Source organism: Homo sapiens, chromosome 22 (assembly GCF_000001405.40).
Source record: "Homo sapiens chromosome 22, GRCh38.p14 Primary Assembly".
In the NCBI taxonomy this organism is placed as follows: Eukaryota; Metazoa; Chordata; class Mammalia; order Primates; family Hominidae; genus Homo; species Homo sapiens.
In genome coordinates, this window is record NC_000022.11 from 21,137,828 (window position 1) to 21,151,230 (window position 13,403).

The 13,403-nt window shown below is 44.5% G+C and overlaps 1 pseudogene, besides 1 other annotated feature; it reads right to left on the reverse strand.

The window, feature by feature from the left end:
- Positions 2,614-4,821, reverse strand: E2F6P2 (E2F transcription factor 6 pseudogene 2; annotated as a pseudogene).
- Positions 6,690-7,190: an enhancer, noted in NCBI's record as "NANOG-H3K4me1 hESC enhancer chr22:21498806-21499306 (GRCh37/hg19 assembly coordinates)". NCBI's record gives its function as "activates a minimal SCP1, AML or CMV promoter by ChIP-STARR-seq in naive H9 embryonic stem cells {active_cell/tissue: H9 hESC(naive)}" and the evidence as "EXISTENCE:reporter gene assay evidence [ECO:0000049][PMID:30033119]".

Below are 13,403 nucleotides of genomic sequence, written 5' to 3' on the forward strand. Positions count from 1 at the left end.
AGAGCAAAGACATTCTAACAAAACTGTGAACTCGGAGAAATTAGTGATGCCTGCTTCCCGTCAACTTTCAGGTGTCCAGGCCTTCTCTTTATTAAAACAGAAAAAAAAATCTGATACCAGTTGTGTGTTCTTTCTTTGATGTAGTGCAGTTTGCCCAGGCTTGCCTTAAGTTGGTGCTATTTTTGTGTATTTAATTCTGTTTCCGCATGTGACCCATTGTCTGATGCTTCAGAATGCAGTCTGCTGCCTCCTTTTTGATAGCAACTCTGAGAACACCGTCTCTGCTCTCGGCAGGGCACTGGGTACACCTGTGGCATCGCTGGTGCCATGGCATGAGGCAGGCTTCCCACTTCACTTCTCAAGGACCCATTTTATTAACTCTCCTTCCCCCAGGAGCTCCGTATTTTGAAATCTTTTGTTTCCCAGACAATTAGGGAGTAATTAAACCTTTTTTCCCACATGATAACAAGTATGATCGTTCACACTTGATATAGTCCAGTTCTAAAGCAAAATTAGTCTAGTGGTCTGGGTTGCGGATGACCAAAGCACACATATGTTCCATCCATTAGGTTGCTTAGCCCTGTGGTTAGGGAAGGCGGGGTTATTGTTAGGTGATTTTGAAATCTCCAAGGTCATCAGTTTCCCAACCCCATGTGCTGCTTTGGATAACCTGGGTGGTGTTTGCCCACTACTGCTTTGCATTGGTGACCTTGATTGACCATGCTAGGTGGCACTTTTCAGCAGGGTGAGGAAAGGAGATGCACAGTTGAGCAGCCGTCATTTCCTCCGGGTCCGATCACACCTACCCTATCCCAGCCAGATACAATCTATCCCTTTTTAAAAAGACTTTCGGAGAATGAAATTTTACAGTCTTTTTTGTATAATGCCCCCAAAAGGAAATCTTGATTTTCACTTAAGATTTGATTTGAAGTAAGTCATGATTTAGAACAGCAGATAAAATGCATTAGGGTAAAGTATTATGTAAAGGTAAGGTGAAGAGATACTGGTTTCTACTTCAGGAGGTAGCTTATATTTGTTTGCTTTAATTAATTAATTCATTCATTCATTTTTGAGATGGAGTCTCGCTCTGTTACCCAGGCTGGAGTGCAGTGGCACAATCTTGGCTCACTGCAACCTCCGCCTCCCGGGTTTAAGTGATTCTCCTGCCTTAGCCTCCCAAGTAGCTGGGATTACAGGTGCCCTCCACCACGCCCGGCTAATTTTTGTATTTTTAGTAGAGATGGGGTTTCACCATGTTGGCCAGTCAGGCTGCTCTCCAACTCCTGACCTCAGGTGATCTGCTGCTCCAGACTCCCAAAGTGCTGGGATTACAGGCGTGAGCCACCGTGCCTGGCCTAATTTTTGAATTTTAATTTTTTGATGGAGGTAACGGTGACTATAATTCTGTTACAAGAATGTAGAAAGTCACGCCTGTAATCCCAGCACTTTGGGAGGCTGAGGTGGGCAGATCACAAGGTCAGGAGATTGAGACCATCCTGGCTAACACAGTGAAACCCCAAATATAAAAAAATTAGCTGGGCGTGGTGGCGGGTGCCTGTAGTCCCAGCTACTCGGGAGGCTGAGGCAGGAGAATGGTGTGAACCCGGGAGGCGGAGCTTGCAGTGAGCCAAGATTGCGCCACTGCACTCCAGCCTGGGCAAGAGAGTGAGACTCCGTCAAAAAAAAAAAAAAAAGAATGTGGAAAGTAAAATGTGAAAGTTCCCCTCCTTGTCTATGCCCCTTATTGACTTTGATATAGATTCTTTATAGTTTGGTATATATTCTTCCAGACCCTTTTCTGTGTATATACTTACACAAATATATTTTTTCTGACATAAATGGAATCATGCAGAACATATTGTTCAACAACTTGATTTTAAAGGGATGATTTACTTCACTATTTTTTCAGGCTTAATTTTATGGCTATATCAGAACTGATTTGGTTATTTTATAGCTGGCTGAAGCTGTAATTTGTGAAATCATTGGGGAGTAGTGAGCCTCCTTCCATAACTATATAACAATAAATTTTGCTATATCAGGAGAGCAAGTCATAATAAAAATATTACCCTTAAATCTTAATGTATTTAGTGAGAATAATTGACTTGTTTATTCTGCATATTTTCTTCAAAAAACACATAAATTCATCAAATTAAGCACGTTCGTATTTTATTGACTATTTTGCTATAATTTTGAAATTATGTTAAATTAAAATGAAGCCTGTTTGAAACCTGTTAAGATGACAACCATAAATACTTAGTTTTGTGTCTAATTCAGTTAAGCGTTCTTGTTTGTTCATGGACCAGAAAAAAAGTTTTCCTGTGTTTTCAATTCCCAAGTGACTCCTCCAGATAGAATGAACTGGACCCGAGTAGTCTTTAAGGTTGCTGGCTACGGGCTCAGCATTTAAGACTTTAACCCAAAGGAAGAGAACTTTTTTTCTCAAGCCCTGCAGCAACAGTTATTGCTGTAAAAAGATTATCATTTCAAAGTGTTGGGTTACTTCTCACGTTCATGGGAATGACTTTCTTTAAAACCTCTGGGAGCAAGAGCAGTTTCTTGGATGGCTCATCTTTAGACCTGATTTTTAAAATAGTTGCTCTTTTTTTTGTTTTTTTTTTTGTTCAGACATTTATTGAGCACTTCTTAAGGGCCAGGCATGGTGTGAGGCACTGGGATGTAACAGTGATTATGACAAAGTCCCTCAAGGAGCTCACAGTCTAATGGTAAACTACAGAGTAAACTGAGGCACAGAGTGGTAAATGACTTACCCAATGAGGTAGAAATAGCTAGGTATGTGAAAATGTGGGAGCAGAGCTGGAGAGAGGGCAAGGTACAACTTGTCCTAAGTAAAACCCCTTGGACTGACTCAACAGCAAGGCTGCATACACAAACATTACAAAATCTACTTGCAAAAACCTGAAAGGAGTTTCCAATTATCACCATGACTGAATTCATGTTTCACAATGAATTCAGCTATTTCCTGATGACATTTCTATCCTTGCCCCCAAAGCCACTGGGCATGCCACCGATCTGCTGGGAGACAGCAATTAGGTAGACAGCTTAAAACCAAGAAGTATCTGACTCCAATTTTAGCACTGAAAACCATATTAAAATACTTTAATTAAATCCACAAACATAAATGTGTAGCACATTTATGATACTTCTACATGTAGAAGTTTGGAAAAAGTCTCTTCTAACCCTCATCCAGAGGATTCTAATAAGTTATAGATACCAAAGAGATTAGAGAATTTGTCTGTCACTTTCCATATATACATTATTTTGGCTGTACGAGAGTGAAAAGTGTCACTCAGACATATTTCGTAAGTAATCTCAACATTATACAGATATATACAAAGACATCACATTTAAATTCGTGTGTACATCTATGCAATGTACAACAGTAACTGCAAACATGAACCAGTGTAAGGCAATTTCTTTTGTGACATATGACATACTCCTTGAAGGGAAGGGTAGAGTCCACAAAGAACTGTCCTTTTCAGCCTGACTGTCTGTCTTCATGACACTCTGTGATGAAGCTACTTCAGGAGGCAAGATGTCTATTTCACTGACAAAAAGCAGTGAATAATTATAAAAGGAGTTGTTTTCAAATGTGGAAACCACAATTACTCAGTAATCTAAGTGGTGAACTCCTCAAAGACACTACTGGCCATGATGCCGCTACTGAGAACGAGAGCACTTCATGGATAATTTATTGCTCTGAGAATCAAATTTGATGCGTAATTCTCCAGGAAGATATTCCCAAAAAACTCAGTGATACATAAATTCTCAAATGCCATCAGTTGCTTACTTCAAGCAATTCTTCACTTTGCTGAGGATTTTCTTCTTCCTCAGGGCCTTCTGGATGAGTGCTCTCAGATGAAGAGGTCCTGACACCTTCAGACCTTTTGTTACTGGTCTGACCCTGCTCCACTTCTCACAAATAGACATCGATAGGTCCGTTGGTGCTCCTTATGTGCACTGTGATAGAGTCTTCTCTGGGAGCTGGAACATCCAATCTGGTTTCTGCTGGAGCTTTAACTGCAATGACGATCTGTTCATGGAAGGCCTGAATGCTATGAATGTCTTGATAGGTCACATATGCTAGTCTTTCATTTTCTTTGTCATCTGTTAACTCAAACAGCTGCTGAGCACAATCCTTAATTAACTCATCCAAAGCATCTTCCATTGCTGGTAAGTCAGCAAGTTCCTCCTGTAGCTTCTTTTGTTGGGGAACTGCTCCAAAATTGCTAAGATCAGATCCTATCCATCTAATATGGTTCTTGGATTTCTTTTCAACGAGGTCGATTCCATCTAAGACATCGGTGATGTCATACACTCTCCGCTTTCGGACTCCCAGTTTCGTTGCAACCTTGTTTAAGTCAAGAATACCCCCGGGAGCAGATTTCTCATGGACACATATTGTACATTATCTTCTAAATTAATCCTTATTTTTGATGGCAGCAGGCCCTCCACGTTGATGGGGTCTCCTCCGTCGGGTGCAGGAGGAGACTGGGTAATCTCCTCGCCGGCCGCTGCTGACTCATGCTGCCCGGCCGGGCGTCCTGCTCCCCTCGCACCCCACGAGCTCTCCCGCCCTCTCGCGCTCAGCTCGAGCACCGCCCCCCACGCGCCGATTTCCAAGGGCCCAGCACCTAAGGGGTCCGCGGCCTCCTCCGAGGCGTCGCCCGGCTAGGCCGTCCCTCCCGCCAGTAAACGCGGCACGGCCTCACGTGCCCGGGAGCTCCCGACGCAGACGGAAAAGGAGCAGGGAGACCCGCGGATCTCAAGTCGCCCGGCCCGCCATCTTCCCGCATGCGCAGTCAAAATAGTTGCTCTTCTGGAGAGATGGCTGTGGGATTCATGTGTCATAGTTATCCCTTCTTAAACATCAGTGTTTGACTTTCTATCCCTTGTCCTGAGACCTCTGAGGGTAGCCCCTGTTTTAGCAGAATCTACTTCTAATACTTTCCTAAGAAGGCTTTCCCAAGAAGTTCATTCAACAAATAACCGAGTGCCTTCTACAAGCACTCATTGTTCTGTTATCTCCGGTGCCACAGAATTCACAGTTAAAATCATGACTAACATTTTAAGTCGTCACCTGATATGTATTTTTAATCTTTAATAAATAGAAGCATTAATTAAATACACTGTGACATTCGGGAACTCTTTTTTATTCCTAAGGTACATCTTTTTTCTTGCCATTACTTAACCTCTTTTCTTCCTGTTTTGTTCTCAGCTCTCCTTTACAGCCATGAGTTACTAGTGCCCGGTGCCACCACGAAGAGGGGGTATCTGTAGGAGTAAGATGATGAATAGCAGTGGTAAGGGGAGAGCGAGGAGAAGGGAGGGGGCTCTGAGGAGGCTAAAGGGCAAACTTTTATTCTTGAAAATACACAAATATCCCAAGTCCTGGGTGTGTGGAACGTCCTTATTACTGCTGGGGATGTTGCTTGTCTGTGGGAATTGGGAATTTCACACCTAGCTCTGAATTTCTAGGAAGCCCGAACAAAAGAGAAATAGAAATAGAGAAATCACATACTTCCCACCAGAGAGGAGACACCATCCATACCAGAGGAGACTCGTATGGGGGGTGGTGAGGATAAGGCCGATCCATCTTCCCCACCTCATACTCTGCCTCCTGCAGTGTGGCCTCCCTGAGGGCGCCCTGGCAAGGGAGGGTGTGGGACCCTCATCAGTATGGCTCTTACAAATTCCCAGAAGCTGCTGTAGCAGCTCAAAGAGGGGCAGGCTCTTCCAGGTCTGTTCCTTGCCAGATGCCCTCTCCCAGCCTGGGGTTAACCCTAAGCAGGCATTGATCTGCACTTTGCTCAGAGTCACTGGTGACCTCCCGGGTAGCCAAGAGCTTCCCCCTTCTCCGTGAGCCCTCTGAGACTGCAGGTCCCAGACGGTTGTAAATTCTGCCTGGTGGAAATTGCCAAGGCTCCAAAGCAGGCACCTGCTGCCCTCAGGAGCCTCTGTGCAGGGCCATTCTTCTCCCTGCAAGCAGCACTTCTCGGAGACCTTTCTGGTTTTCCTCTTCAGCTTTGTTTGGCAGTGGTTTGGTGTTGGTTTGGAGATGGTGGTGTGTTGGGAATTATGCTTCACATAGATGGACATGTTTGTTAGCGGGAGGAATGATGGTGCAGATATTCATTCCGGGCTTACCCCAAACTAGGTAACCCTTTATGACATTGTTTAGAGATGATTTGCTGAACAGTTTCATAATGCCTTCTGATGTTTCAGTACAAAAAATAGCTTGCTGAACAATGTTACAATCTGTCTTCTGATATTTCATTACAAAGAAGCAAGAGCACATTCTGAGCACCCTGCCCAGTGCTTTCACCTTCTCTCTGTTGGAGCAGGTGATTGGTTCCAGCTCTGCGTTTTGGCACCTCTGTGGCTGGGCATCCCTCTGAACTGTGCACTTCTAGAAGGGAGCAACAAGATAGAGAACTAATATGCCTCTAGGCCTGAGTTCATTTTGGAAAAATCTTTGTAGATTTCTTGCCCAATCCTCTTATTTTAAAGGTGAATTGTCCTAGAGGGAAGAAAAAGACCATGGTGACCTGGGTGGGTAAAGGGTGGAAGTAGTACTGGAAAACGCCCCTAACAGGAGATGAGAAAGAGACTCTGGTGCACGTCATCTTTGTTTTAATTAAAACGTTATGCAATACAAACATTCGCCTTCCCACTCTTCCCCCTACCACAGAGGAGCTGTAATTTCCCATATTTGGAATTTGGGGAGAGCTGGGCCTCATTTGAAGATAAGGCCAGATTCAGTCTCTGATTTGGGGGGAAGTAAGTAATTGAGAGAGCCTTGAGGACTGTGGTATTTATGGTGAATATATCAGAACTATGTGTGTCTCCTTGTCATCATTTATTCAACACCTCTGATGTCCTAGAGCTGGTGCTATGCCCATCAGTATCTGACTCTTGTTTTCTTCTGCATATTTTCCCTTTTGCAAATGTATAGGCATTCAGCTTTAATCAGGTAGGCTTTTTACTCTGTGATCTGCAACGGGGATGACTGAAGTCATGTGGAGGATTTTAAGTAACTAATCTCTTAAGACATTCAGAGCATAATCTTCCCTAGCCCGTGATCATCCTGCCTGCATCCGAGAGATTTGTGAGGCTCTGCAAAGGAGGCTGGATGTGGACTTTGGCATCCTTTGGAGAGACTGGGTGTCTTCCTTGCTGGTGACAGGTTTTTGTTTGCTTTTGGCATGGGAACAGGACCTGCTGTTCATTTACCATGTCAAGAGAGTTCAAGATGCCCCATGAATGTGACCAGTGTGTTACTAAATCTCCGTACTGGTACAGAGAACAATGGCAGGCCAAACACACATGAAGACCCTGTCTAGGCTCATTGATGTTTATGCAGTTTGTGTCCAGGGCTGGTTCTCAGGGAGAAAAATAGATAAGATCTGCAAAATAGATAAGAGAGGACTGCTGGTCAGTGGTGTTCCCTGACATTTTTCCCTGAATGATACCAGGTTAATCAAAAGATAAGGATCTAAAATATTTTTGTGCTCTGCTTATAATTTGAATGTGACTTCATATGTGTGTCATCTGTTGGACTAAATTGGATTGCAGTTGCTCTTCAAATTGTCATTCCTTTATTTTCTATTTCTACCTACCTCCTGATGTTAGCTCAGGTTCCTGCTACCAAGGTGTCTTGCAAAAAAATTTGGTGACTATTACTCTAAGTGAAGCCTTTGATACTTTCTCTTAATACAATGGTTAAACCTCTAACAACGTAGACTAATGAGGAAGATTAGTTTGAATTAGTAAAATGTCTGAATTACCAAATATTTTTCAAGAACTTCACTGTTATTACTTTTAAGTAAATACTGTAACTCAAACTAGGCTAATAGAATGCCTAATAAAGATCCTTAGGGGATCCTGCTTTAGGAGAGAAATAAGAATGATTTGCAATTAGTGCACCAATTGTTTATGTAAATGGAATTTCTGAAATACTAGACTGAGCTTGAAAACCGTTTGTTCCCTTAAGTATTTTAAATAGTCCCTACGGAACCCCTGTGCATGCTGGTAGTTGTTTATATGCTGTATAGAGACCTGTTTCATGAAGACATAACTCAACCTTATATCATCAGTATCAGAAATTCCAAGTTAGTGATGGCCAGGATCCTCACCTTCCAAGATTAGATTAGATCTCTCTGCCAAACGCTTCCATAGCACATGCAATTGTCTGTTGTAACACTAATCAATACATTTAACAAATATATGATGTATTCTGCTATATGCTTTGCCAGTGTGTGAAATGGAGGAGACATAACCCTCATCTTTGTGTAGTTTATAGGCTAGCAAAGAAGTCAGGCAGTAAACAAATAAATGCATTTATAATTAATTACAATCCTGAAGTTAGATTGTACTTTTGTAAGTAATGGTTTAATCAACTAGATTTTAAGTTCCATTAAGATAGGGGTTACTTCTGTGTTGTTTGTCATGGTGTCCCAAATCCTTCCTTAGCCTACTGCCTGGCATAGAGTAAATATTAAGTTGAGCTTTATTGCCATTTTGATAGGTCAGAAGCAGTCGAATGTCAATAATGTCACATAGTTCAACCTAATAGTTGCTCAGTCAATATGTATTGAATGTTGAATGCATGTTGTAATCAGTGATCCTATGGTAGGCTGCATTTCACACAGTTTTCTCTAGCCAAAGAAATGCTAGCTATGGTTTTGAAAAGGAATTCTAAAACTTCAAACAGCTAAAACTGGTGATATAGACTGTGGGACTGGAGATCTGTGAGACTGGAGTGCCTTTTGTCCAGTATATTTTCTATGCAGTTCTTGGTACATTTCCCAGCCTCAGGTGGGAGCATGTGTATTTGGGTCTGGAGTGCTTGTCAGTAGCCCAAAGAACCTGGGAAGAGTATGCTGGAAAGCTAAGATGGAAGGCAGGGATAGGAGCTGTTTGGCCTGAAGAAGAAAGTGGCAGGAAAGATATTGGCATAGCCAAAGAAGCCTTCCCTTTAAGTCCTAGTGTAGGGAGACTTACTTTTCCAGACCAGAGCTCATGAGATCATGCACTCATTCCACAGATTTGTGTGAGTCTGTGATGCGCTCAGTTATGGCTAGGCATGGGCGTTCCTTATTGTGAGCTTCCTTTTTGTGCCTGGAACTTCTGTCTGAAGGGTTGTGGGCTGGACTGTAGACCACTGGTCCTCAGAGGCAAGGGTTGAACTGAGGAGAAAGCCCCAGCTGGATCCTGCTGGGAGAAGCCCAGCACTCTGGCCTGGGGCCTGCTCCCTATCTGTGGAACTGGGAGTAGGGCCCAGGCTAGGGCTTAGATCAGAGCTTCCCAAACCTTCTGTGTTAAGAACGTTTTTGCATCTGTTTGGATTTCATGGCTGTTTTTCCATTTTCCGTGCACACATGTCCAATTATACCACCCTATTATAATGCACACTCTTTTCTCACACCCACAGGATAATTTGTAGTTCCACAGCTATTTGTTGAGCATCCTCATCTGCCAGCACAGGATGGGGGTGGCAAGTGAGGGGAAACACAGATATGTGGTATTGGTCCCTGCCTGTGGTAGACGTGATTGGTTACCTACAGTGGCTCTTCTTTTCTCTTCCTGCTGGCAGGACCCAGTTGGGTTGGATGCCACACCTCTCCCACACGCCACTCAAGGAAAGGTGACCCTGCCTCCAGCTCTAGGGTATGTGCTGATTGAGCTGAGCCCATCCTGGAGGCCCGTAGTTTAGACATGGTTTTGGCCACTGAGGTATGAGAAGTCTGCTGGGAGATGCTGGGAAAGATGTTTTTCCTTGTAAAAGGAAATGCAGAAGGGACAGCTTCTTTCACTAGATTCTCGGACGTGAAGCAGCCATCTTGTTGCAATGAGGAAAGCAGGTTTGTTGAGGCCAGCAGACGGGAAGAGATGGGAAAAACCCTGAGGGCCAAGCCCCTGAAGACTGAACCGTCCAATCTCCATACATTTTGTCCTCACTGTTGAAGCCAGTTGAGTGGGAATTTTCTACTACTTATAGTCGAAGGCAACCTATATTAGACACTCCCTCAAAGGAGCATGAAATAGGATTTCTTCTTGTACCATTCAGATTATCATCAAAAAGCACATTATTCAGAGACAGAGCTTAGCTTTGTGGTAAGGCAGAAAGGAGAGGGGAAAGCAAGTTGGTAGGAAAGAGTTGAGTGAGGAGATTGTATTTTAAATGGGTCCTGAGGGAGGATTAGGATTTGTGTGGGAGGAGCAGAAGGGCGTTCTGGGGAAAGGAATGGTGGCATGAGCAAACCTGTGAAGACAGGTATGGATGTGGCACTGCCGAAAAACAGGGAGATTATGTCCTGACTAATTCCGTGGACAGATTCTAGAGCACCTCAAATTGTGAGTTTATATGGTGACACGTGACTTATGCAGCGGGAAAAGTACTGCAGGCTCATGAATGGGGGAGAAAGGAATGAAAGTGGGCCTTGGGAAGAAGGATAAGGATTAAGTAGCTGGGTACCAGGTTCTTTGGAAGGGGAAAAAAGTAAAAGGCCAGTGACAAGCTCAAGCTACTGAAATAACTCACATTTGAGTTGATAGCAGTGCGGGGAGGGAGTGAAGCTGTCAAAGGAAGATTGTAATAAATTAACTGGCAAAGAAGGGTAAGATGGATATCTAGGAGAGGAAGATGGAAGAGGAAGATTTTAGGAAGATGCTGTTTGCTTTTTGCCACTATGGCTTTGAGGTAATGAGGAAAGATCTAAGTAATGAGGCGTTGAATTCATTTGAAAATAGGGCTAGACTTTGGGAATGAGAGGCCAAGGGTTAAGAGGATGTGGTAGAGGCAACTCACTAGGCATGCACATACTCCAGATTTTCCAGCCTCCCTCACAGTTCAGTTGGGGCCATGTGACTAGTGTTAGTCAATGAAGTGGGAGAGGAAGGAACCAGGGAAGAGCCATGTATTCCTCCATTGATTCCTCCCATGCCACAGCAGCCTTGGGCTAGGGCCAGAAAGTGTGGCTGCCAAGACGGGGAGGGCTGTCCTTCCAGGACCAGACTTTGACGGTTGTTGCTCAGCTGGGAAATGCTGGTAGAAGCGAGATCTGAAGCTGTAATGGGTGGCAGTGCTGACAGCTATTTGTGTTGGGTCTGGGTGGTATGTGGTCTTCAGGGTACAGTTGTCCACCTTCTCCTGACTTGATTTGCTCAGGGGTCTGCATTCAATGGGCTGGAGCTTGCTGGCCAACTCATTCTACCTCTAGGACTCTCAGTGTTTCTGGGGGCAGGTTTACATCTTGGCTGTCCAGGGAAGGGGATCCTTGTTCATGAGCTGTGCTAGTGAGAAGGCTGCTCTCTCCACAGGCACCAGAATGCCAAGTGCCTTGCAGAGGAGAATGTTTGGGTGGCTGATGTCCAGTGGTGACCAGGTGGAGCGTCTCAATTATCTGGCTAAACATGGAGCTTCAGGAAGAAGTTCCAGATCTCCAGACTTGAATAAGAATAAGGTGCAAATCCCATCTTTCAAATCTTTCCCACTCTCAGAAGAGTCAAAATGTGCCTTTTCTGCAAGCAGTCCGGAGCTAGGCACTTTGCATACGCTTTGTTACGATGTTGCATCAATCTCGCCTGGCTGAATCACGGTGTTTTCCTAAGGGTAAAGGGCCCCGTGAGTGCTGGGAGGCCTTTGGCATCTGGTTTTCGTCAGGCAGCAGGTAAAAGTGCAGATGGCGGGTCTGATCGTGCTTTAAAAAAAGCAGAGTTAGAAACGTGGGAAAGGCATTTGAGAGGCACCTCTTACTCTGTGTGTGATCTCCCGTGCATCCTGTTTCTTCTCTAACCAAACACCTCAACTCCTAATACCCAGAGGAAAACCCTTCAGACTTGGGAGACAGCCGGCATTGCTGGCACTGGCCTCTCTGGAGCTTTTCTCGATAAGTTTGAAAATTTAAAGACAGTGGTGGCACTGTTTCTCTGTTGAATGGAGAGTTGACATTCTTATTTTTCCTTCCTCTTCTGCAAAACTGGGGTGTCATCAGATCAGTGTTTGCTGCTGCTGTTGCGTTCTTGGGTAGCCACTCTTTTTTTTTTTTTTTTTTTTTTTTTCAGAGGGAGTCTTGCTCTGTCGCCCAGGCTGGAGTGCAGTGGCCCAATCTCAGCTTATCGCAACCTCTGCCTCCCGGGTTCAAGCGATTCTCCTGCCTCAGCCTCCCGAGTAACTAGGATTACAGGCGTGTGCCATCACACCCGGCTAATTTTTGTATTTGTAGTAGAGAGACGGGGTTTCATCATGTTGGCCAGGCTGGTCTTGAACTCCTGACCTCAGGTGATCCTCCCGCCTTGGCCTCCCAAAGTGCTTGGATTACAGGCTTGAGCCACCGTGCCCAGTCAGCCACTCTTATTTTACACACTGCTTCTGGCTGATAGGCCTACAAGGTCTAAGCTTAATCCCAGGAAAAGTGCTACCCGAATGGTCTGTCAGTCAGCCTTTTGTTTGTTTGTCTCGTTCCGGTCATCCTTGCCTCTGTCCACCCAGACAACATTCAATCAACATTTGTTATGGAGCCAGCAGTATGATTTTGCAAGTTACTTTTCTAAACTCTCATTTCCTCATCTGTAAAATAATAGGAGATACTCATTAGGGTGATTCTAAGAGTTAAATGGAAACATCTGAGGAAAGCACTTAGCATCGGTCTGGCACATAGTAAGTGCTCAGTAAATGATGGTTGTCATTATTGTTGAGCAGAGCCAGGGGTTGCCACCCCAGTCAGCTGATTGGCTGTAGACATGGTGTGACCATATGGAGCTGGGATTTGGGCCACACTCAGCACATAGTTGTGATCCATAAATGCACAACCTTTGGACCCCATTGTCACCTCCCTTGGAATATCTTGGTGTTCTTGTTTCAGTCTGATAAGGCCATTGTAGCTGGGTTCTAGGTATCTCTGAGCATGGAGCACTCACGCCAGCCTCAGACATCGCTGTCAAGGGCATCAGCAGCAGTGAGGTGATTCCTCAGCCGGTCATTTGGGCATCGCTGCCTGGGTCTCTCCTGAGCTTCAGCTCATCTTTTTTGTCACCTGCCATACCTTTGCCTCTAAGTGTCCCCCAGTTTTTATTGCTGCCCTCTCCATCCGCACCAGTGCCTCTCTCTGCCAGTTCCACTGTTCTCTCGCCTGCTCTTTAGGATTTCCTTTGTTTTGCCTCCTTGCCTGGTGCTTTCAGCGAGCAGCGCTGACGTCATCTCAGGAACCGTGCTGCGTCTGAGGGAAGAACCTGCAATAACTTTAAATAACTTTAAACCTGCAAATGCTTCTTTGCAGGTTTAAAAGGATGACTATAAACTATGACGTCATGCCTAGATTCATTCTTGACCCAACCAACAAGCTCTTGACATTCTCTGAGTCCAGGTTGACTGTGATGAAAGG